The sequence below is a fragment of the Homo sapiens genome, chromosome 1 (genome assembly GCF_000001405.40).
Source record: "Homo sapiens chromosome 1, GRCh38.p14 Primary Assembly".
Classification (NCBI taxonomy): domain Eukaryota; kingdom Metazoa; phylum Chordata; class Mammalia; order Primates; family Hominidae; genus Homo; species Homo sapiens.
Genome location: NC_000001.11, coordinates 234007639 through 234032362, shown reverse-complemented (window position 1 = coordinate 234032362; position 24724 = coordinate 234007639). Strand labels below are relative to the sequence as shown.

General features: G+C 39.8%; 1 protein-coding gene and 1 pseudogene across 1 annotated transcript in view, besides 1 other annotated feature; one reads left to right on the top strand and one right to left on the bottom strand.

Moving 5' to 3' along the window:
• Positions 1–24724, bottom strand: part of SLC35F3 (solute carrier family 35 member F3) — a 419836-nt gene that overhangs the window by 292149 nt on the left and 102963 nt on the right. The gene's annotated exons all lie outside the window — the stretch shown is intronic.
• RAC1P7 (Rac family small GTPase 1 pseudogene 7) lies at positions 5136–5490 on the top strand (annotated as a pseudogene).
• Positions 7557–8756: an enhancer, noted in NCBI's record as "CDK7 strongly-dependent group 2 enhancer chr1:234159353-234160552 (GRCh37/hg19 assembly coordinates)". NCBI's record gives its function as "activates an origin of replication core promoter dependent on BRD2, BRD4, P300/CBP, MED14 and CDK7 cofactors, with strong dependence on CDK7, by STARR-seq in HCT116 cells {active_cell/tissue: HCT116}" and the evidence as "EXISTENCE:reporter gene assay evidence [ECO:0000049][PMID:35650434]".

The following is a 24724-nucleotide window of genomic DNA, read 5'->3' as shown; positions in this document are numbered from 1 at the left end:
AAAATATAAAAAGAATCTAAGAAAATGATGAAAGGTTGCTCATGAAAGAATAGCAATAATAATTTACCACAAGTTCAATGGTGAATTTGACTTATAATAATATAAACATGATGAGTATATTTAAAAATAATGATATAAATGAACTGGAGACTAGATGGCTGGGAAGGGTGCTTGGGGATCATACGAACACAGAGAGAAAAGATAGCTCAACTCTTATTTTTTTATAGTACGAAGTCAATAGAGAATGCCGAGAGCAGAACAATCACGAAGTATCAATGCAAACATGCTATTCAGAAATATGGAATTAAACACCAACGAGGTCAACTGAAAAACTAAAACAGGTTGCCTTCAGGAATGGGAAAATGGATGGGTTGGAGGGGTGCAGTGGGCTGTTGTTTTTGTCTACACATCTTATAAAACTATTTGATTCATGTATTTGTCCATAATACATAAATTTTAAGAAGCAAGGAAATGGTTCCAGGCTGTGTCTAGACAGTGTTGGTAAAGATAATGTTTGGTGTCCAAGGTGGGTCTAGGAGTTAAGAAACGCACCTGAATAACAGGCAGGAGACCTTGAAATGGACACAGTTGTGACAAAAGCCAATTTCAGGATATGACTAGTGTAGAATCTACAGGTCAAAGAAGAGGAGTTGGACTGGGGGCAGTGGCTCGCACCTGTAATACCAATGAAATGGGAGGCCAAGGCAGGGGGATGGGTTGAGGCCAGGAGTTTGAGGTTGCAGTGAGCTATGATCACGCCACTGCACTCCAGCCTGGGTGACAGAGTGAGGCCTTGTCCCCCATGCCCCCCCAAAAAGGAGTTACACTCAGAACATGGCAAATGGATTATCTTGGATAGAGCAGGAATGTTAATGCTGGAGCAATACAAGGCTCATTATGGCAGCTAGTAGCTGTGACTCTGCCAAGTTACCATTCTATGGCATCAGTAGCCATGTGCTCCTTCATTGATACGCAGCCTGGAATTGAAAATGAGGTCCAACAGGTGTAGAGGGGACCAGGTCCTTTTTGAGTTCACACATAGGTGATAGGGTCTAGGGCTAACTTATCATCTCCAGAGAAACAATGAAACCCACAATATGGTCCTTTGAACACAGTGGGTTTTTGCTGAATGATTGAGAACGTGAGTGGAATCCTATTGGAAAGACCATCTGCACCCAGAAAGTGGGTGCGCTTGTCAGAAAGAGCTCATCTGGAGCAAGAGAGGGGACTGGCACAAGAGGCCACTTGGTTGTGGATCTTTCAGGTGCAAATGGTGTAAATTCCCAGCAAACTCTTCTATAAGTCTTGGCTTTTCTTCTCTCTTCCTGCCTCCCCTGACATGAATGATGGTAACAGGCTGAGAAAGCAACAACCCTGATTTAATCCATTTCCCTCCATGTAAGCAGAAAACTGGCAGAATAATAAGATTTAGTCTGCCTTGTTCTCCATTTGAGCTGAGACCTAAAAGTGGCACAGACTTCACAAGCAATGTCGATTAGGAGAGTAACTGTTAGAATCATCTTTTCTCTTGGTTTATCCCAATCTTCCCTCTTGAAATGCAAGAAATCTATGGATTGATACATGATGTTATAGGTGTTATAACTGTATAATTGTAACATGAATTCACATCATGTTGATATATTAGATGATATACAAAAACACTTGTTTTTGTAGGTCAAAAAGTAATCAAATATCAGCAATTTCATGCTATCCAACCTAATCTCCTCCTATTTTTGTGCCTGCCCTCTAAGTTAGGTATTTAATCCCGTACAATGGATGAATGAGCCTTGGAGGAGTTAACGCTTTATAACTGTGCTTTCTCAGGGGAATGTAAAATAATCAACTGGCCCTAATCAATGAAAAGAGTTTTGCATATTCAAAGTTGACCCAGAAGCAGTCAGCCCTTCTCCTAGTCTCTGGTACTGGGGTCTCTAGTTAGACTCAGAGCCAGGACAGTCCTCTGTACTGAATGAGCTGTGAGCACCTGTGGGCATATTCTTCTTCTCTGGTGATCTCTAATGATGCCATAAATCCCCAGCAAACAGGTTCATTATTCCTCTAGATCCAAACTAACAGTGAGCAGCACAGACAGCACTGTGGAAGGCTAATCCATAGGATGAAGCCAAGTGGTGGCCGTAGGTAGGAGTGGAAGGGTCACCGTTTCTGTGGGAAACTGGGTTTGGTTATACTAATTAAGTATAATAATTTATGTGAAAGATAATATTGGGAATAGTGTATTCTGTCTGAGTGAATCATATTTCAGAAGAATAATGATTATTAGAGCTGAGTGCTACATTTAATTATACATATTTAATTTAAGTGATTGAATATAATTTGAACATTATTTGAATATTATTAGTCTTTAGGAACCTAACGTCTCTTTGGCCAAGAAGCATGGCAGAAAAACTAATTCTGAGGCAATGGAAAGAAAGAGATACAAGAAGAAATTCTGTACAGAATCAAATCCTTATTTTTTTAACTTTTAATTATTATTATTATTTGAGACAGAGTCTCTCTCTATTGCCCAGGCTGGAGTGCAGTGGCATGATCACGGCTCACAGCAGTCTTGACCTCCTGGGTTCAAGCGATCCTCCTGCCTCTGCTTCTCAAGTAGCCAGCACCATAGGCATGTGCTACCATGTTCAGCCCAGAATCGAAACTTTTAAAGAGTGGTACAACACAGGGAAACAGTTGGGAAAGGGTGGAAAATAGGAAGAAACCAATGACTTTTTCTTTTCAGATTGGTCTCAATTGCTGCATTCTTTCCATTAAAATAAAGAAATGTGGGTTCCTTCTGTCAGTAAATGTAGTCTCCCCAAACCACATCTAGCTTTCTGGAAGGCCAGTATCATGGTTCTAGGGCACCTGGATTCAGAGCAGTTGCTTCAGGTGAGATGAGCCACATGTCTCCACCTGCCACATCCAAATGCCATGTAAGACCCGTCACCATTGACTGCTCCTCAATAGCAAGATCCTTCAACACTTTGTAGAGGCCTTTCACGTTCCTGTGTCTCACAGCCTGTGCCATCTGCGGGAATGCTCCTCCATTTGATGAATTGCTTTAGCTGCCAATTTAATTATCACCTTTGCTGACCCCACTCCCAGCCACAAGACCCGGTGTCTACATCGTCTCTCTGTTGCCTCTACCCCAGAGGCATGGGTCTATTGCCTATCTGTTTCTCCTGTAGATGAAGAGCCCTGGAGTCTGGTTTCTTAATCGATGTTATCACCCAGCCCCAAGCTCACTGGGCAGAAAATGACCGATGTTTTTCGAATGAAAGAAACAGAATTTGTCAAAATGTTATTTATAAGTAAATTTTCAGGAGCAATGTATCATAAAAAGTAAGATGCTTCCAATATTTCCATTTAAGTCCCTCATGCCTGAGTTCATTCAAGTTTTAGCTGTGTCTTCAGCTCCCCACGGAAATCATCGTGCTTGCTTCTAAACATTTCCTCTCTCACCCTCTATGGCAGCTTGTCCAAACCATCACCATGCTACTTAAGCTCCTGATTCTAGCCTGCCCACCTCTCTCTCAGCAAACTCCTCCCACCTCAGAGGAAATTGAGGTGACCTGGTGTGAACCTGCAGGCACTGTTATAGGAAGAGATGCCACTTTCTACACCTGTAGTCTGAATCCCACCTCCTGTAGCTTTGCCAGTTACCTCTCTTTTCTATAGAGAGTCTCTCTTGCTCTGTATTAGTATTGTGTTTCTTTCCCGTCAACACATAAACATTCTTACGACTTTCTTTTCTTAAAACAAAATCCCAGTTCTTTGGTGATGGTATGGACAGGGAGCTATGCTTGCCCCAGTCTCCAGCCTACCTCCACAGAACACCAGGACAGCAAACATCCTCTTTCACCCAGTCCTTGGGTCTCTTCCGACAGGGATGCTGGTGAGTAGATGTGTGAGGCCATGCGGGCATTCAGGTGCTCATCACCAACTGGACCACAGCCCAGGAGCACGACAGCACCCAGAAACTCTTTTAACCTCACAGGCTCAAATCCATGAAACATTTCCCAACTTTACCCCAGATCATCACCTAATGGTAGAGCTACGTAGACCACACAGTGGCTCCACCTCTAATTACAGCTTACTTCACCTGTTTTATCTGAGGATCAGAAGCTGGATCGGGGGCACAGCCAGTGCAAACAGAGGTGGAAGATGGGCCCTGGAGCCTTGACCAAGACCCTCTGCTTGTAGGTCTCAGGGTTCCTACCATGTTCCTTCTAACACTAACTTGCAGTCAGAAGAACACACTTCAGTCTGCAGGTTGGCCTGCTTTCTCTCCTTTCCATGGCTTTTTCCATAAGATCTAGCTGGCCTATATAGTTTTACCCGAATTTATTAACTTAATTCCTTCTACTTACTGGCCAAATTTGATACTTTACTCCTGTGCGATCGATTCCCCTCCTGAATTTCCCCTTTGATCAATACTGCTTACTCAACATGGTTGCTATCACCAGCTGAAATTACCTCGCTTTTACACGGGCTTATTCCTTTATCATCCATCTCCCCTCCTTAGAATGAAAGCTCTGAGAGTGTGGAAATGGTTCATTGTGTTCCCTGCTAAATACCCAGTGCTAAACTGGCGCAGGCTCCCAGTGAATTTTTACTAAATGAAGGAATACAGGGAATAAACAAACAAAATTACCCTCTCTTCATCCAAACAACTGGTCACCAATTTTTATCAATTTTATTTTCTCACTATCATTCACATCTGTCCCTTTCTTTCTACTATCTGTGACCAGCTTAGTTTAGGCCCTCGTTTTTGTCTTGCTTAGATCAGAGAACAGCCTTCTAGCCTACCTATTGCGAGTCTAAGACCCCACTCTCCATTCTTTAAACCACTACCGAATGGACTGAAATTGAAAGTTAATCGCTGTGGTTTGAATGTGTGTCCCCTCCAAAACTCAAGTCGAAACTTAATCTCCAGGCAGTTTTCCTCAGCTGCGGGTGGTGGCCACTGCCAGGCTTCAGTTTCCAGTCTGTGGATGGTGAGGTGGCACGGACAGCGGCCCTGGTGCCCCACACTCCACTGCAAGCTGCCTGCCTGTCTGCCGTGCCCCAAGTCCACAGCTTCCCATCTCAGCACCCAGCTGCCACTGCCCTCTGTGGCCCAGTGAGCAGCCCAGATGCAGGCCATCAAGCGTGTGGTGGTGGGAGACAGAGCTGCAGGTAAAACTTGCCTATTGACTGGTTATACAACCAACTCATTTCCTGGAGACTATATCCTCACTGTCTTTGACAACTGTTCTGCCAATGTTATGGTACTTGGAAAATCAGTGTATCTGGGCTTATGGAATACAACTGGACAAGAAACTATGCCCCCTATCCTATCTGCACACAGACGTGCTCTTAATTTGCTTTTCCCTTGGGAGTCCCACATCATTTGAAACTGCTGGTGCAAAGTGGTATCCTAAAGTGTGGCACCACTACTTTCCAAACACTTTTGTCATCCTTGTGGGAATTGAACTTGATGTTAGGGAGCCTTTGTACACTTTGCTGAGAAAATGGTGGCACCTTCATACTCAATGCCAAGTTTTTGGTACAGATTTAATTTTCCCATAAAACCATTTTGAACCAAGCAGTAATTTTAAGGTGTAAGAGTTTAGACTCTAAAACGACAAGCTCTTTTTTTTTTTGGAGCCAAGGTCTTGCTCTGTCGCCCAGGCTGGGCTTGAACTCCTGGTCTCAAGTGATCCTCTCACCTTAGCCTCCCAGAATATGGGGATTATAGGTGTAAGCCACCACACCTGGCTAACAAGCCTTCTTAAACGCTTATTTTTCAAAGCCCCTATTCTTGTTTAGTTTAAGAGTTGCCAACCTACCTTCAGAACTAAATTGTTTTCTTGTGCTAAGGACACTGAGCACTAAACTGTATAAAGGCCTTTGTCTTTAAAAAGACTGTAGCTTCTGAAGTTAGGAAATGCAGACACTTTCTAAGTAGTTTTCAGATATGTAAAGCAGAACAGCTTCCTTAACAAAACATTGCCATTTAACATACCAGTAATTTATCAACCTTTGTTCCTTACAGAACTATAAAAAACTATTCTAAAATTCATACTGAACCAAAGAAGAGCCCAAATAGCCAAAACAATTCTAAGCAAACACAACAAAGCTGCAGGCATCACACTACCCTACTTAAAACTATACTATAGGGCTACCAAAAACCAAAACAGCATGGTACTGGTACAAAAATAGACACATAGACCAATTGCAGAATAGAGAGCCCAGAAATAAAGCCCTACACCTACAACCATCTGATCTTTGATAAAGTCAACAGTACATAATGGGGAAAGGGCTCCCTATTCAATAAATGGTGCTGGGATAACTGGCTATCCAAATGCAAAAGAATGAAAGTGGACCACTACCTTTCACCTCAAATTAACTCACGATTAATTAACGACTTAAAATGTAAGACCTAAAACTATAAAAATCCTTGAAGAAAACCCAGGAACTACCATTCTGGACATCAATTTGGCAAATAATTTATGGTTAAGTTCCCAAAAGCAACAAAACAAAAATTGACAATTGGGAACTAATTAAACTAAAGAGCTTCAGCACAGCAAAAGAAACTATCAACAGAGTAAACAGACGACCTACAGAATGGAGAAAATATTTACAAATGGCACCCTACAAAGGTCTAACATCCAGAATCTATCAGAAACTTAAATCAACAAGCAAAACCCAAATAATCCCATTAAAAAATAGGCAAAGGACGTGAACAGACACTTCCCAAAAGAAGAAATACATCTGGCCAACAAATATATGAAAAAATGCTCAACATCATTATTCATTAGAGCAATGCAAATCAAAACTACAATGAGACACCATCTCAAACCAGTCAGAATGGGTTTTATTAAAATGTCAAAAAACAACAGACATTGGTGAGCTTGCCAAGAAAAGGCTATGCTTATATACTGATGATGAAAATGTAAACTAGTTCAGTCACTGTGAGAAGCAGTTTGGAGATTTCTCAAAGAACTTAAAACAGAATTACCATTCAACCCAGCAATCCCATTACTGGGTATATACCCAAAGGAAAATAAATCATTCTGCCAAAAGGACATATGCACTTATAAGTTCCTTGCAGCACTATTTACAATAACAAAGACATGGAATCAACCTAGATGCCCATCAGTGGTGGACTGGATAAAGAAAATGTGGTACATACACACCATGGAGTACTACACAGCCAAAAAAAGAACAAAATCATGTACTTTGCACCAACATGAATGTGGCCGGAGGCCATTATCCTAAGTGAATTAATCCAGGAGTGGAAAATCAAATACCACATGTTCTCCTTATAACGGGAAGCTAAAAACTGAGTGTACACGATCATAAAGATGGCAACAATAGACACTGGGGACTACAAGAAGAGGGAGGGTGGGACAGGGTAAGGATTAGAAAATTACCTATCAGGTAGTATGCTCACTACCTGGGTGATGGAATCATTTGTAGAGCAAACCTCAATGACACTCAATTTACCCATGTAACAAACCTGCACATGTAACCCCAAACCTAAAATAACAGTTGGAAAGAAAAAAAGAAACTAAATCCCCAATGTGGCAGTATTGAGAGGTGGGGCCTTTAAGAGGTGATGGGGTCACGAGGGTTCGTTGCTCATGAAGGAAATAATCCACTGATGGATTAATGGATCAATGAGTTAGTGGATCATGGGTTATCACAGGAGCAGGGCTTTATAAGAAGAGGCAGAGGAATATGAACATGCACACCCAGCTCCTTCATCATGTGGTGTCCTTCACGTGGGGACCTGGTGACTCAGCAGAGTCCCCAACAGCAAAAGGGCTTTCATCAGATGCAGTCACTCCACCTTGGACTTCTGAGCCTCCATAACTGTAAGAAAGAAATTTGTTTTCTTTATAAACTGCCCAGTTTCAGGGAATAGAAAACAGACTAAGATACTAATCATGTCACTGCTCTCCTCAGAACTTTCCCATGGCTTCCAAACACCTCCACTGGGTGAAGTTTGAAGCCCCGAGCTTGGCACAAAGGCTGTCTGGCCTGGTCCCACTCCTGTTCTCAGCATCTTCCCTCACCACTTCTCACTTCACTCTCTCTGCTCCAGCCAAACTGAATTATCTTCAGTTCCTCTAATGCCTAGTGCTTTTTTTTTTTATCAGAAGCGTTTATTTTTAGAATAGTTTTGATTTATAGAAAAATTGAAAAGATAGCATAAAGGGTTCCTATATACCCCTCATCTAGTTTCCCCCAACTGTGAAGATCTTACATTACTTTGATGCATGCATTTGTCACAAGTGGTGAATCAATTAAATACATTAGTATTAATTCATGTCCATACATTATTCAGATTGTCCTTACCTAATGCCCTTTTTCTGTTTGAGGATCCCTTCCAGGATATGGTATTACATTTAGTCATTAGGACTCCTTAGGTTCCACTTGGCTGAGACAGTTTCTCAGATTTTCTTTGGTTTCAAGGGCCTTAACAGTGTTGAGAAGTATTGGTCAGGAATTTTATAGAATGGCTTTCAACTGGGCTTTCTGTATTTTTTTTTTTTCAGAACTAGATTGGCGTTATTGGGCTCGGGGAAGAAGACCATGGAGGTAAAGTGGCATTTCATCACATCGTGTCAAGGGTGCATATTATCAGCGTGACTTACCAGCATGATGTGGACCCTGATGACTTGCCTGAGGCGGTGATTGCCCAGGTTTCTCCACTGTTAAGTTACAATTCCAACTAACATCCCTTCCGTACACTACTCTTTGGAAAGAAGTCACCATGCACAGCTCCACTTCCTTGAGAGTGGAGTGTCTATCTAAGTTATTTGTACTTGTACTGCAAAGGAGATTTGTCTCCTCTCCCCCATTTCTTAATTTATTCACTTATTTTTTACATCAGTATGTACTCATGCATATTTATTTCATACATATAATCAAATACTACTCTCTTTATTTTGTTGTTCAAATTGTTCCAGCTTCGGCCACTGGGAGCCCTTTCAGTTGGCTCCTGTACACCACGACATACCCTCATCAATGCTTTGTTTTGTTTGAGTACTTCCTTACTTTCTGGTGCAGCAAGATACTCCAGGCTTATCTGTATATTTCTTCCTCAGCTCTAAAATCAGCTGTTTCTCCAAGGACTAATGCCCTGGTTCACTTATTGGGGCAGGTATTAGAAATCAAGATGGCAATGGGTGTGCCCTGGGTCTTCTCCCTTTTTCTTCCTCCATGGGCTGCGAGTCTTGTAACCTCCACTCCTCCTCCATCCCTCTCCCATACTGAAATAATTCCTCATGTGTTCAAACCTTAGCTCAGGTACCTCTTTTTCTGGGGAAACTTCTTTGATTTCCCTCCAAGCCTAGATGTTAGTCCCTGTTCTGTGATCCCACAGCCCCTTACTGTACTGCTGTACTAGTGTTCATTTGTTTGACACCTCTAATAGACTGAACCACCTCTGTGCAGGGACAGTGTTTTCAGCTTCTAAGAAAGAAACTGGTCAGAGGCAGGATTGGCATAGCATGGAAAACTCACTAAATATATCTTATTAGTATTAGTATTAATATTAATAAGAATAGCCAACGTGGCAAGGCTCAATACAGTGGAACATGCTGTATACAGTAGAAATATGCCTTTTTTTCTGAGACTTAAATTTTAATTACATGTACTGAGCCAGAGATGTTGAATCTAAAGACTCCTAGGGAGGGGCCCTGTTGGATCATTGAACCTACATGAACACTTGGCTGGGCTAGAGAACCAAGTTGTTTGGTCAAACACCAGTCTAGAGGTCCCTGTGAAGATATTTTCTAGATGTGACTAACACTTAAATCTGTGGATGTTGAATAAAGCAGACTGCATTCCATAATGTGGGTGGGCCTCCTCTAATCAGTTGAAGGCCTTGAGGAAAAAAACCTGTGAGGTCCCCAAAGGAAGAGGGAATTCTGCCTCCATATGGCCTTCAGACTCAAGCTGCAGCGTTGACTCTTTCTTGAGCCTCCAGCCCGCTGTACTTTTGAACTTGCCAGCCTCCACAATTGGAGAGCCAGTTCCTTAAAGTAAATTTATCTCTCTGTTTCTCTCTCTTATTACACACATGCATATACATGCACATACACAACCTGTTGGTTTTGTTTATGTTTTCTGGAGAACCCAGACTAATACAGGGAGTGACCCCGGACCTTAGCCTTCCAGCCTGCAACTCAACGGTTCAGGGGAATCATGCTTCCTGACATGTGATCATCTCAACCAGGAAGAAGACCCTGTATTAATAAATGTATTAACTAAATATCTTGCCTGTAAATTATTTTATGCTCTCCTTTGACCTTTTTGAGAATAATGAACACTATCATCCCTGGACTTGCTTTTCAGAAATGCCCAAGCTTGGAACTGACAGATGTATTCAACATAACAACCAAGGTCTGCATTCACCAGAGTGATCTCATGGGTGGGAAGCTGGGCACAATACACTCTTGGGACTGTACAAATCTCAGGCTAGTCACAGTACGTGTCACTGCTCCATCCTTTGAAAATATTTTTGGTAGATAAAAGCTTGAAAAAAATGAACATTATAGGTGGTCCTAAGATGGGGGGAAATTAACCAAGAATAAAAACCTGAATGGTGTGCGTGGAATAGTAAAGCCAGTGGTAAGGAAAGGGAGGTTGCAGACCCTACAGGTTCCCAAAGGCAATGTGAAAGTCCTTAAGCTCTTTCCCAAGTTTCAACAGCCTAATACACAACATGGTCTAATTTCAACATTGGCTGTCTGCCTTTGGCTGGGTTATATCATTTGGGTGATGTAATGGTGATCCTAGGTGATATTAATACAATCAGGCCTGATTATCACATGTGGTTATGCATGGCTTTGATGAACAAACAATGAAGCAATGAGTAATCATTTAATAAGTCCAGTTGGTTGATAAAATATTTTAAATGGTAGGGCCATTGGGAAAACTTTCCAGCTTTCTCATTTCAAAGAAGGGATGATGATATGACATTGATTGGGGTCTTCGGGTTTCTGATGATGAGGGAGCATGAGGATGCTGGGTCTATGTTAGAACACAATATCAAAATCCCTTTGGTTTCCCCCACTGCCTTCCTTCCATTACTGCCCAGCTTCAAGACCACATTTTTCCAGAGCACCAACCTGTACCAATTTGCTAGCCTCAGCAGTGACCTGGTTGTGCAAGGTCTGGAGCCTGCTGGGGGCGGGGCAATGTCTCCTAGGGTCACAAGCTCTGTCTTGGCATCAAAGACGTGTGCAAGATCTGTTCTGCCTTTTAGGGTAGGTGGTCTGATGCATCATGGGGGCTTCCTGAGCCTCAACTTCCCTTGAAAAAGAAAAGGCTGGATAGAAGTTCTTTCCAAAATCTAAAATCTCCGCAGCTATGCCTTTATGCGGCCTTCTGAGAACCAGCTGTGCATTCCCCACATCAATTTTGCATTTCGAGCATCTCAAAGTAGCAATTGAATGCTCTGGACCATTTGCTAAATAGTATCTTTAAAGAATGAACTGAGAAATGCCTTTGTTCAGTGTAAGGACAAGCCTAGGAACACTGGAGAAAATTCTCAGGGCTAGGAGAGGAATGGCTGCTAGAGATCTGTGATTTTGAAGCCATTTTCCAGCCTAAAATCTCAGGCTCTTATTGTATTCAGAAGAAAAAAATAGTAATTCACACACACACACAAATTCTGTAGCACTGAAAGAATTGCTTCCAATTACAATCTTCTCAAGTTAATGTTCATAGGAGTCATTGAAATAGAAGGACCAAACTTCAAAAGAGTAATTTCAATTTAAGCAAACTTTAAGCAACCTAATTTATCCCACTGCCAGTTTAGTATCTAGAAAAATCATAATTTTCAAAAAAAGGGGGAGGGACAGAGAGGAAGAAGAAAAAAGAAAAAAGAAATAAAAGGTAGTGTGTTTCCTGCATATTAGATTTTTAATGTCAGGAAGAACAAGGACTTTATAATAATAGCCTGCCTCTGTCTATGTTTTTATCTACATTTCTAAGTACAAAGATAATAATTTTGTTATGACAGAAATATGTCCTCTTAAGAAGTTCATCCAAGGGCAAACAAATGAGAACTATAGAGGCACATGAAATATTTGAAAGCCAATAAACCAACAGAAACAAAAAATGCTAAAAATTAGGTCAGAATGACTAAAACTACAATACAATGAAATAACCCCAATATAACAATAAGGTAGACACTCTATCAAAACCATTGTTTCAATTTTTTTTTTTGTGTGGGATGGAATGGCGTGCAGCTTACCCACATGGCTTTGGGATGCCCTAGTAACATAGAGTCTCATTTTCAACCCTGTTGTCTAACTCATTCTCTCCTTGCTAAACATGTATTTTTCTTGCTGGAGCACCTCCTGGATCAACAGTTATCAGGCCACATTGCAACTCAACTTGCCCTTGAGTGAACCTTCAGAATGTGTCAACTGAGTAACAACCTCACTCTTAGAATGACAAATTTCACATTTGTAATGTTAACTAGGCAACATAGCAAGGGACCTTACACGCTAAATACAGTGGAAATGTGTGTTATTTCTGAGACTTGAATTTTAATTACATGTACTGCGCCAGAGATGTTGAGTCTGAAGACACCTAGGGAGGGGCCCTGTTGGATGGTTGAGCCTATGTGAACATTTAACTGGGCTGGGGAACCCAGTTTTTTGGTCAAACACCAGTCTAGATGTTGCTGTGAAGCTATTTTTTTGGATGTGACTAAAACTTAAATCTGTGGATGTTGAGGAAAGCAGATTGATTTCCAAAATGTAGGTGGGCCTCATCTAATCAGTTGAAGGCCTTGAGGAAAAAAACCCCTGAGGTCCCCAAAGGAAGAGAGAATTCTGCCTCCAGATGGCCTTCAGACTCAAGCTGCAACATCGACTCTTTCTTGAGCTTCCAGCCCGCTGGACTTTTGAATTTGCCAGCCTCCACAATTGGTGAGCCAGTTCCTTAAAGTAAATTTCTCTCTGTTTCTGTCTCTGTCTCTCTCTCTCATTACACACACACATATACATGCACATACACACCCTGTTGGTTTTGTTACTGTTTTCTGGAGAACCAGACTAATATAGGGAGTGACCTCAGACCTCACCCCTTCCAGCCTGCAACTCAAGGTTCAGGAGAGACATGCTTCCTGACATGTGATCATCTCAACCAGGCAGAAGACCCTAGTGATAGTGAGTTCACTACCTCAGAGGGCAGCAGGAGCTGTCAGAAAGTCTCCTCTTAGACTTGGCTGGAATACACTTCTCTGCATTTTAGACTCTGGTTCTGGCAGACATGTGCTGGGCACATCCTCTGGGCCAAGTCAATCTGCTTCCACCTGGTCAGGTTGGGACATGTGCCTGGCCAAAGGTAGCATTGCTCTTCTATCTTCAAACCTCTAGCTGCTATTTCTTGAATTATCAATGCAAGTCATAACACGCAATTAATTCGTCTCCAGAAAGGCAGCATGTACTCAGTGCGCACACCCAACCAAAAAATTATATTAGAGCGAAAGAAAATAGATGCTTAAACAAATGTATAGGAAAATTAGAGAACTTCCCAAATGACACCCTGGACCATGTTGCCAAGATGGGTTCTGAGTCAAGGAAAAGTCAATTGAAATGAATTTTTGGCAGAGATGCTTGAATCAGTGTTTGTTATGTTTATCAAGCACAGGAAGGGAGGTTAATAGAATGGATCTAGACACCTCTGATTGGATTCAGCAGTGTGTTCATGAGGTTACATGGTGTCTGGCATTTTGTGATATAAATGTTTGTCTTCCCAGTGCTGCAGTCCCTTGAAGGAAGAGGCGATGTCCTGTGGTCTTTTTATCCATTACTGTACTAAGCTAGGCTCTTGCACATGCTAAGAAGTGTGGAAGGAGGGAAAAAAGGAAGGAGAAGCAGGAGAACATATAGAAGGAAAATTGGGGGACAATCAGCAAAGAGAAATCGGGGGACATGCTCTTCCCCTACTGTTTCCTGTATTCCTGGCTGTACATTCCTCAGAGCCAGCTGAATGGAGGAGGTGGGGCAGGGCTGTGTCCTTGCCCATCATTGCCTTTCTTCTAGGGCATAAAGTAATGAGAATAATAAGAACTGACCATTTTCCAGAAATTATTATGTTAGATACAGTGGATCCTCATTATTCACGGATTCTGTATTTGCAAGTTCACCTACTTGCTAAAATTTATGTCTATCCCCAGATCAATATTCACGGCGTTTTCACAGACATTTGTGGACATGTGCAGAGAGTTGCCTGACACGTATTTTTCCAGCTGAAGCCAAAGAAGGCCTCTGCCTTCTTGTTTCATCTCCCATATTGTAAACAAGTGCCCTTTTCTAGATCTACTGAGTGTCACGATTTTCATTTTTGTGGAGTTTTTTTTTTCAGTGACTTTGCTGTTTAAAACACCCCCCAAATTGAGTGGTGAAATGCTGTCTCCTATTCCTAAGCACAGGGAGGCTCTGATGTGCCTTAGAGAAGCTTCCTTGAGACATGAGTTGTAGTTCTGTTGGCTAGGGGTTCAATGTTAATCAATCAACCATATATTTGCTTGGTGCAAAAGTAATCACGGTTTTTGCCATTGAAAGTAATGGCAAAAACAGCAATTACTTTTGCACCAATACTAAGCAAGGTGTCTTTTTTTTTTTTTTTTTTTCTGAGACAAAGTCTCGCTCTGTCTCCCAGGCTGGAGTACAGTGGTGCGATCTCGGCTCACTGCAAGCTCCGCCTCATGGGTTCATGCCATTCTCCTGCCTCAGCCTCCCGAGTAGCTGGGACTACAGGCACCCGCCACTGTGCCAGGCTAATTTTTTGTATTTTTTAGTAGAGACGGGGTTTCACAGTGTTAGCCAGGATGGTTTCGATCTCCTGACCTCGTGATCCACCCGCCTCAGCCTCCCAAAGTGCTGGGACTACATGCATGAGCCACTGCGCCCGGCTGCAAGGTGTCTTTAAACAGAAACACACATCAAAGAAAATTATATTTGGTCAGTTGATGAAAATGTGACCAGAAGCTCACAGGAACCTAACCTTGTCTTTTTCCCAGGAGCAATGCTTCAGTATTCCTTAATTCAGTGTTCATGATGACTTTATAGAACATCACCACTTGAATAATGAGAATTATTATTTCTTTTGATCATTGAGTTTTCTGGCACTCCAACCCTAGCTTTGGTGTTGGCAGCTTAAAAAGAAACTGTTCAGTATTCACTAATTCGCTCTTCATGGTAACTTTGTGGAGCATAACTACTGCAAATGAGAACTGATTGTACTGGACACGTTATTTTGTATAATTCTTATTGGTCACCCAATAAGGTATGGACTACTGTTACTAAGACACGCAGATTAAGGAATGATGTTTAATGGGGTTAAATGAATTGCCCAAGTTAATAACAGAGCCAGTAACTGTTTGGGACAAGAATTCAAATCCAGGAAGACTCCAGAGCCCACACGTGTGCCCTCTGAGCTATACTGCCTGCCATCTGCCTCCCCCTTCCTCCTGGAGTGGTGTTAGTGGTGTAAGCGAACAAAGGCACAAACCTTAGACCGGGGCTTCTTAAATTCTTTGTACCACAGACTACTTGGCAGACTAGTGAAATCTATAAATAGACTATAGTATTTGTAAACTCCTAACATCAAGCACATGGGATTACAAAAGAAATCAATTGCATTGAAATACATTCATCAAATTATCCAAAAGTTTTGTGGCACAATGATATATGTGCTCCTCTCCTCACAACACTCCAGCCTCTGGTAACCATCATTCTACTCTTCATCTATGAGCTGAATTCCACACAGAAGTATGAGGTCACATTGTATTTGTCTTTCCATGTGTGGCTTATTTCATTTAGTATGTTGTCCTCCACGTTCATCTACATTGTCACAAATGACAGAATGTCCTTCCTTTTAAAGACTGAATAGTACCTCATCATGCATATATAATATACTACATTTTCTTTATCCATTAATCCATTGATGGATCCTTAGGTTGATTCCATAATTTGGTTATGGTGAACCATAACACAATGAAAGTGAGAGTGCAGATAGCTCTTCAACATACTGGTTTCAAATCCTTAGGCTACATATTCAGAAGTGAGATTGCTGGTAATTCTATTTTTAACTTTTTCAGTTTTCCATAATGGCTGTTTTCCATAGTGGCTGTACTAATTCACACTCCCATCAACAGTGCACAAGGGTTCCTTTTTCTCTACATCCTCACCAACACTTATGTTTCATTTTTTTGATAATTGCCACTTTGACAGGTGTGATGTGATATTTCACTGTGGTTTTAATTTGCATTTCCCTAATGATTAGTGATGTGGAACATTTTTTAAAACATATCTCTTGGGCATTTGTATGTCTTTTTTGGAGAAATGTCTATTCAAGTTCTTTGTCCATTTCTAATTTATTTGTTTTCTTGCTATTGAGTTCTTTTGGGTTCCTTATATAATTTGGATATTCACCCCTTATCAGATGTATGGCTTATAAATATTTTCTCCCAATCTGTAGACTGTGTCCTCACTTTATTGTTTCCTTTGCGGTGCAGAAAATTTTTAGTTTGTTGTAATCCCGTTTATTTATTTTTGCTTTTGGTACTGGAGCATTTGGAGTCAAATTCAAAACATCATTGCCCAGAGCAATGTAGCTTTCCCCTATGTCTTCTTCTTATAGTTTTACAGTTTCAGGTCTTATGTTTAAATCTTTAATCCATTTTGAGTTTATTTTTGTATAAGGTGTGAGATGAGGGTCCAATTTCATTCTTCTGCATGTAGATATCCAGTTTTCCCAACACCCTTTATTGAAGAGACTGACCTTTCCCCCATAGTGTGTTCTTGGCACCTTTGTTGAAAATCAATTGACTGAAAATGCATAGGTTCATTTCTGAGCTCTCTATTCTGTTCCATAAGTCCATGTGTCTATTTTTATGCCAGTATCACACTGTTCTAATATCTATAGCTTTATAAGATAGTTAGAAATCAAGTAGTGTGATGCTTCCAGTTTTGTTCTTGCATTTTTTTTTTTTTTTTGATATAGAGTCTTGCTCTGTCGCCCAGGCTAGAGTGCAGCAGTACAATATCGGCTCACTGCAAACTCCGCCTCCTGGGTTCAAGTGATTTTCCTGTCTCAGCCTCTCAAGTAACTGGGATTACAGGGGCACACCACACCGCACCTGGCTAACTTTTGTATTTTTAGTAGAGACAGGGTTTCACCATGTTGGCCAGGCTGGTCTCGAACTCCTGACCTGAAGTGATGCACCCGCCTCGGCCTCCCAAAGTGCTGGGATTACAGGCATGAGCCACTGTACCCAGCTAGCCACACTTGGCCATTCAAGCTTTGTTCTTTTTGTTCAAGATTATCTTGACTTCCAGGATTTTTTGTGATTCTATATTAATTTTAGGATTGTTTTTCTATTTCTGTGAAAAGTGTTACTGAAATTTTGATAAGGATTGCATTGAATCTGTAGATTGCTTTGGGTAGTATGGATATTTTAACAATATTAATTCTTCTTATCCATGAATGCAGAATACCTTTCCATTTACTTGTGCCTTTTATAATTTTTTTCAATGATCTTTATAGTTTTCAACGTACAGATCTTTCACCTCTTTGTTTAAATTTATTCCTATGCATTTTATTTTGTTTTAGTTAGCGTAAATGGAATTTTTTCTTAATTTCTTTTTCAGATAGTTCATTGTTAGTATATAGAAATGCTACTGATTTTTGTGTATTAGTTTTGTAATCTGTAACTTTACCATATGCATTTATTACTTCTAACAGTTTTTGGGTGGAGTGGTCAAAGTTATACATACATACAAGATCATGTCATCTGCAAACAGGGACAATTTAACTTCTTCTTTTCCTATCTGGATGACCTTTATTTTTTTCTTTTGTCTAATTGCTCTGGCTAGTAGTACTTCCACTAAAATGTTGAACAGAAGCGGTTAGAGTGGGCATTCTTATCTTGTTCCTGATCTCAGAGGAAAAGCTTTTAGTATAGTGTTAGCTGTGGGTTTTTCATATACGGCCTCTATTGTGCTAAAGTAGATTATTTCTTCTACATCTAATTTGTAGAGAGTTTCATTATAAAAAATGTTAAATTTGTCAAATGCTTTCTCTGCATCTAATGAGATGATCATATGGCGTTTGTCCTTCATTCTGTCACTGTGGTGCATCACATTTATGGATTTGTGTATGTGGAACCATCCTTGCATCGCAGGAATAAATCCCACTTGATTACATGAGTGATTCTTTCACTGTGCTGTTGAATTGTTTGCTGGTATTTTATTGAGGATTTTTTCATCTGTATTCATCAGGAATATTGGTCTATAATTTTCTTTTCTTGTAATATCCTTGTCTGGCTTTGGTATCAGGGTAAGGCTGGCCTTAAAAAATGAGTTCACCTCTTATCAGATGTATGGCTTTCCTCATAATTTTTGAAAGGTTTAAGAAAGATTGGTATTATTTTTAAAAATATTTGACAGAATTCAGCAGTAGCAGTGAAGCTCTGGGCTCTTTTTTTTTTTTTGATGGGAAAGTTTTTATTACTAACTCAGTCTCTTTACTCGTTACTGGTCAGTTCAGATTTTGTTTCTTCACAATTCCGTCTTGGTAATTGTATAGTTCCAGGAATGTATCAGTTTCTTCTGGGTTATTCAAGTTGTTGGCATATAATGATTCATAGTAATCTCTTAGAATCCTTTGTGTTTCTGCGGTATCAGTTGTAATGTCTCCTCTCTGAGTTCTGATTTTATTTGAGTCTTCTCTCTTTTCTTCTTAGCCTAGCTAAGGGCTTTTTGCTTTTGCTTATCTTTTCAAAAAACAGCTCTGTAGTTTCATTGTTTTTTTTTTCTATTGTTTTTCTAGTCTCTGTTTCATTTATTTCTGCTTTGATTTTTGTTATTTCCTTCCTTCTCCTAACTTTGTACTTTGTTCTTCTTTTTCTAGTTCCTTGAGGTATAACATTAGGTTGTTTATTTGAGATCTTTCTTCTTTTTTGACATAAGTGCTTATTGCTAAAAATTTCTCCTTAGAATTCCTGTTGATGCATCCTGTAAGTTTTTGCATCCTGTAGGTTGTTTTTGCTATTTTAATTTGTCTCAAAAATTTTAAAAATTTCCCTTTTGATTTCTTCTTTGACTCATTGGTTGTTCACGAGCATGTTGTTTAATTTTTACTCCTTTGTAAATTTTCCAAGATTTCTCCTGTTATTGATTTCTAGTTTGATACTACTGTGATCAGAAAAGATATCTGATACAATTTGAATCCTCTTAAATTTATTCAGATTTGTTTTGTGGTCTAACATATGCCTATCCTGGAGGATGTTTCATGTGTGCTTGAGAAGAATGAGTATTCCGATGCTGTTAGATGAAATGTTCTGTACGTGTCTTTTAGTTCTATTTGATGTTTTATAGATCAAGGCCAATATTGTCCTATTAATTTTCTGTCTAGATGATATATCCATTGTTGGTAGTGGGGTATTAGAGTCCCATACTATTATAATATTGAGTCTATCTCTTCCTTCAGATCCTTTAATATTTGCTTTGTATATTTAGGTGCTTGTAGGGCAAAGAAAGAGAGATCAGACTGTTACTGTGTCTATGTAGAAAGGGAAGACATAAGAAATTCCATTTTGACCTGTACCTTGAACAATTGCTTTGCTGAGATGCTGTTAATTTGTAACTTTGCCCCAGCCACTTTGCTCCAACTTTGAGCTCACAAAAACATGTGTTGTATGAAATCAAGGTTTAAGGGATCTAGGGCTGTGCAGGACATGCCTTGTTAACAAAATGTTTACAAGCAGTATGCTTGGTAAAAGTCATCACCATTCTCTAGTCTCGATAAACCAGGGGCACAATGCACTGCGGAAAGCCGCAGGGACCTCTGTCCTGGAAAGCTGGGTATTTTCCAAGGTTTCTCCCCATGTGATAGTTTGAAATATGGCCTCGTGGGATGAGAAAGACCTGAATGTCCCCCAGCCCAACACCCATACAGGGTCTGTGCTGAGGTGGATTAGTAAAAGAGGAAAGCCTCTTGCAGTTGAGATAGAGGAAGGCCACTGTCTCCTGCCTGCCCCTGGGAACTAAATGTCTCAGTATAAAACCCAATTGTACATTTGTTCAATTCTGAGATAGGAGAAAAACCACCCTATGGCGGGAGGCGAGACATGTTGGCAGCAATGCTGCCTTGTTATTCTTTACTCCACTGAGATGTTTGGGCAGAGAGAAATATAAATCTGGCCTATGTGCACATCCAGGCATAGTGCCTCCCCTTAAACTTAATTATGACACAGATTCTTTTGCTCACATGTTTTCTTGCTGACCTTCTTCCTATTATCACCCTGCTCTCCTACCGCATTCTTCTTGCTGAGATAGTGAAAATAATAATCAATAAAAACTGAGGGAACTCAGAGACCGGTGCCCGTGCAGGTCCTTGGTATGCTAAGTGCCAGTCCCCTGGGCCCACTTTTCTTTCTCTATACTTTGTCTCTGTGTCTTATTTCTTTTCTCAGTCTCTCATCCCACCTGATGAGATATTCCCACAGGTGTGGAGGGGCAGGCCACCCCTTCAGTGCTCCAATGTTGGGTGTACAGCAGGTCCTTGAATAGTGATGTTGCATTCAAAGTCATTTCATGATAACATTGATAAGAAAAATATCAATTTTGGGCTAGGGCCACTGTCTGCATAGAGTTTGCATGTTGTCTCCATGTCTACGTGGATTTTCTTCAAGTGCTCTCACTTCCTCCCACATCCTGAGATGAGCACATTAGGTTAACTGGCATGTCTAAACTGTCTTAGTGTGAGTGAGTCTGGGTGTGTGTGTGCGTGAGTATGCCTTGCAATGTGATGGAGTTCTGTTCACAGTTGGTTCCCACCTTGTGCCCTGGGCTGCTGGGATAGGCTCTGGCCATTTGTGACCCTTAACTGGAATAAACACATTGGAAAATGAATAAATAAATACATATAAATTATTGTAAAATAAATATTCGCAAAGCATACAATAATTATACAAATGCAGAGGAATAAACAATGCAGTGTGAAAGCACTCTGCAATCCTGTCATATCTGTAATTATTTTTGAACTGCATGTTGGTTGGAGGCATTCCTTGTAATTTTTGCTTTGTAAACAATTATTCTTTGATTTAATCCACCACCGTGATGACTAACATCCTACACTGATTCACAAAAAATTTGATAAATAATTATCTTACTTGTTGTTATTACTCTTTCATAAATGTATAGTAGCTCACATTTATTTCAGTATTTAATATTAGAAGTGTTTGGGGTCTTTGTTTAGAAGTTTGGTGATGTTTTTGTGACCAGAAATATGCCATAGGAACTTAACTCTTGCTTATATGAATTAGCCTATGGTAAAATGGATTTGGTTATACATATTCACTTAAAACCTCAGTTTCCAAGAACCTACTGATGACATCAAGGGAAAACTTACTGTATATGTGTTAATAATTGTTATATCCTTTTGATGAATTGACTCCTTTATCATTATATAATGCCCTTCTCTGTCTCTTTTTATAGTTTTTGACATAAAGTCTATTTTGACTGATATAAATATAGCTACTCCTGTTCTCCTTTTCTTTCCATCTCTTTCCATCCCTTCACGTTCAGTCTATATTTAGGTGCTCTAACATTGGAGCACCTAAATATACAAAGCAAATATTCAAGGATCTAAAGGAAGAGATAGACTGCAATGTTATAATAGTAGGGGACTCTAACACCTTTCAACAAGGGACATATCACCTCAAAAGTGAGATGAGTCTCTTATAGGCAGCATAAAGTTGAGTCTTTTTAATTTGTTTTTAAAATTCAACCAGCCACTCTGTCTTTTTATTGGAGATTTTAATCTATTTACATTCAAAGTAATTATTGATAGGTAAGGACTTGTTACTGTCATTTGTAATTTGTTTTCTGGTTATTTTGTAGATACTTTGCTTCATTTTTTCTCTCCTGCTGTCTTCCCTTGTGGTTTCATGGTTTTCCACAGTGATATGCTTTGAATCTTTCAATTTATGTTTTGTGCATCTACTACAAATCTTTGCTTTGTGAGACTTACATAAAACATCTTATAACCAGGTATTTCAAGCTGATAACAACATAACTTTGATTACCTACAACAACTCTCTACTTTTAGTGTCCCCCTTAAATGCTTTTGACATCAAAACTTTCATCATTTTGTAATCTGTATCTTGACAATTTGTTTTATCCACAATTGCTTTAATAATTTTTCTTTTAAGCCTCGTACTAGAGATAAAATTGCTTTACATGTCACCATTGCAGTCCTAATGTATTTTGAATATGACTTTATATTACTTATACCATCAAGTTTTATATTTTTGTATGTTTTATGTTACTAATTTTAATTTCAATTTATTTCAAGTTGAAGAACTCCCTTTAGCAATTCTTGTAAGGCAGGCCTAGTAGTGATAAATCTCTTGGCTTTTGTTTGTCTGGGGAAGGACAGTTTTGTCAGGTAAAGTATTCTTGGTTGATAATTTTATTCCCTCAGCACTTTGAGTATAACATCCCACTCTCTCTTGGCCAGAAGGGGTTCTGCTGAGCAATCTGCTGATAGTCATATTGGGATTCACTTGTAGGTGATAAAGACTGATTTTTTTTTAAAGCATCACAGTTTTTGTAGACTGCTGACAAATATGAAATTAACACAAATCTCACAGAGTAACATAGATCCTTTACGTATCTGAACTCTGACAAGTGAAGGCTGTTCAGTAAACTGCACAATTCTGGTGTTCAGCTGAATGTTATTATGCAGCAAAGCTGAGTAGGGTGGTTGGGAGGTACATTATAACCCCCTGAGATAGAGCTGGGGAATGAGTTGTAATTTATTTGCCCTGATTCAAAAAGGCAGAAAACAATCTTAGATTGGGATAAGCAAATTAAAAGAAAATTCTGGTTCAGAGGAGCCCTGTGTGATTACATGTCATCCTTCTAGTTGATGTGGGAACAGTCGCAAAGTTAATGGAATTATGAGGACTGCACTTGAATCAACTTGAGTGTGAAATAAATTGATAAGAAATATCCAAGAAAATTAAATACCACAAGTATCTTCAAACACAGAGTTGCCAGTGGCACCTAGCATGGAATTCTGCAGTGTTTTGCAAAATACATTTGAAAAATAGAAGGAAAAAAGCCTATATTCATTTTCTGCTTAAATTACTTTATTTATTTAAATCATTAAATTGAATAGCTCTGGTCTGCTTTTTTTCGATAGATAGGAAATTGCAGGAATTTTGGGGGAACATACAGAAAGAGATCCACATTTCTCTGATATTTAGCAACATTCAAAACTATGTTGAAGTTAAAACAAACAAACTTTGCCTTTTAGAGTATTAACTTTATGTAATCTGTGTAGGTGAGTGATATGATATCCAAAAAATGAGGTTTACCCTTTATCTCCAGAAAAAAGGAAAAGGGAACACCAGGAATCAGTCTGATAACTGAATGAAGTCCATCTTGTCCACCAAAAACTTGGAACAGAAGTCAGTCAGGCAGCATCCAGGAATCTGGAGTCTCAGATTGGAGACTACCAAGAACAGTCATGACAGAAGGGGTCCTGAGGGGCTGGGTGACAGCCAACAGAAGTTGAAGAAGCAAGTGCCATTTTAGGAAACACAAACAGGAATGAGCAAAGATGGCACTGTCAGATACTCCTCCAGGGCAGGCTGTACTTGGAAACTCTTCCTAGAGCAAGTGCTTCTGTTTAATGAAGTATAACATTAAGCCTGAACAAGGGTAGCAGTAGAAGAAAGCAGTAGAGATGAGTAAAACACTTCAGCATAAAGCTATGAAAGAACTTTCTGTAGTGCAGAAAAAGGAGACTGTATAGCAGTCTTCGTAAACAAATGGCTTTACCATCAAGGACAAAAAGAAGAGAAAAGGATGAAAGAATGAACACCTTTAGACCCCTGACCAGAGAGGGACCTACTTCTGGCTAGGAAATTATGTTCTCTTTCATTCAGAGCATACAGTCCTAACACAGAGGCAAATAACAGGGAAAAGCAAATGATGGTGCATCATAAGCAAGTATCTGAAACAGTATTTTAGCTTCAGAAAACCTGGCTCCTGACAGCATGTTTCTGCCTTCCCTGAATTCAATACCAGCAATCATGGTGTCCTCCATTGGTGTTGACTAAATAGCTATCATAATGGGATCTTTGGAGGCTGAAACTCTTTTTAGAAGAATCTAATAGATGAGTGAGAGAAGACAAGGAACGAGAGAAGAAAGGTACATGCTGAATATGTTCCAGTGCAAAGGCATCTGGGACAACAGAGCCTCCAAGGAATCCGTTCCTAGGACTCTAGAATGTGGAATACAGAGAAGATAAATCTTAATCATTTTTAATTACTAACCTTCATTTTTCCTTAAATGCATTCATCTATTTAGCCCTAGTCTCATAATGTTCCTCTATGCCACCCATCACCAACCTGAATTCCATATAAAGCAACATGTAAAAAAGCTGACTATGGCACAATGCAGATCCAATAGGACTCCATGTACATATTCCTGGGAAATCCATGAATTTTTAATGACCAATTCTAAGCATTTTTACACTTTTATTTTTATGATTATCTTAAGGCTGTTAGTAAAAGTATATTGAGATCATTGCAATGACTGCCCATTAACCAAAAATTTCAACATGCAGCATTACATCTGAGGTTACAATCCTGTGGGTTCCAAGCTGTGCTGTGACTTTTATGGTTGGTAG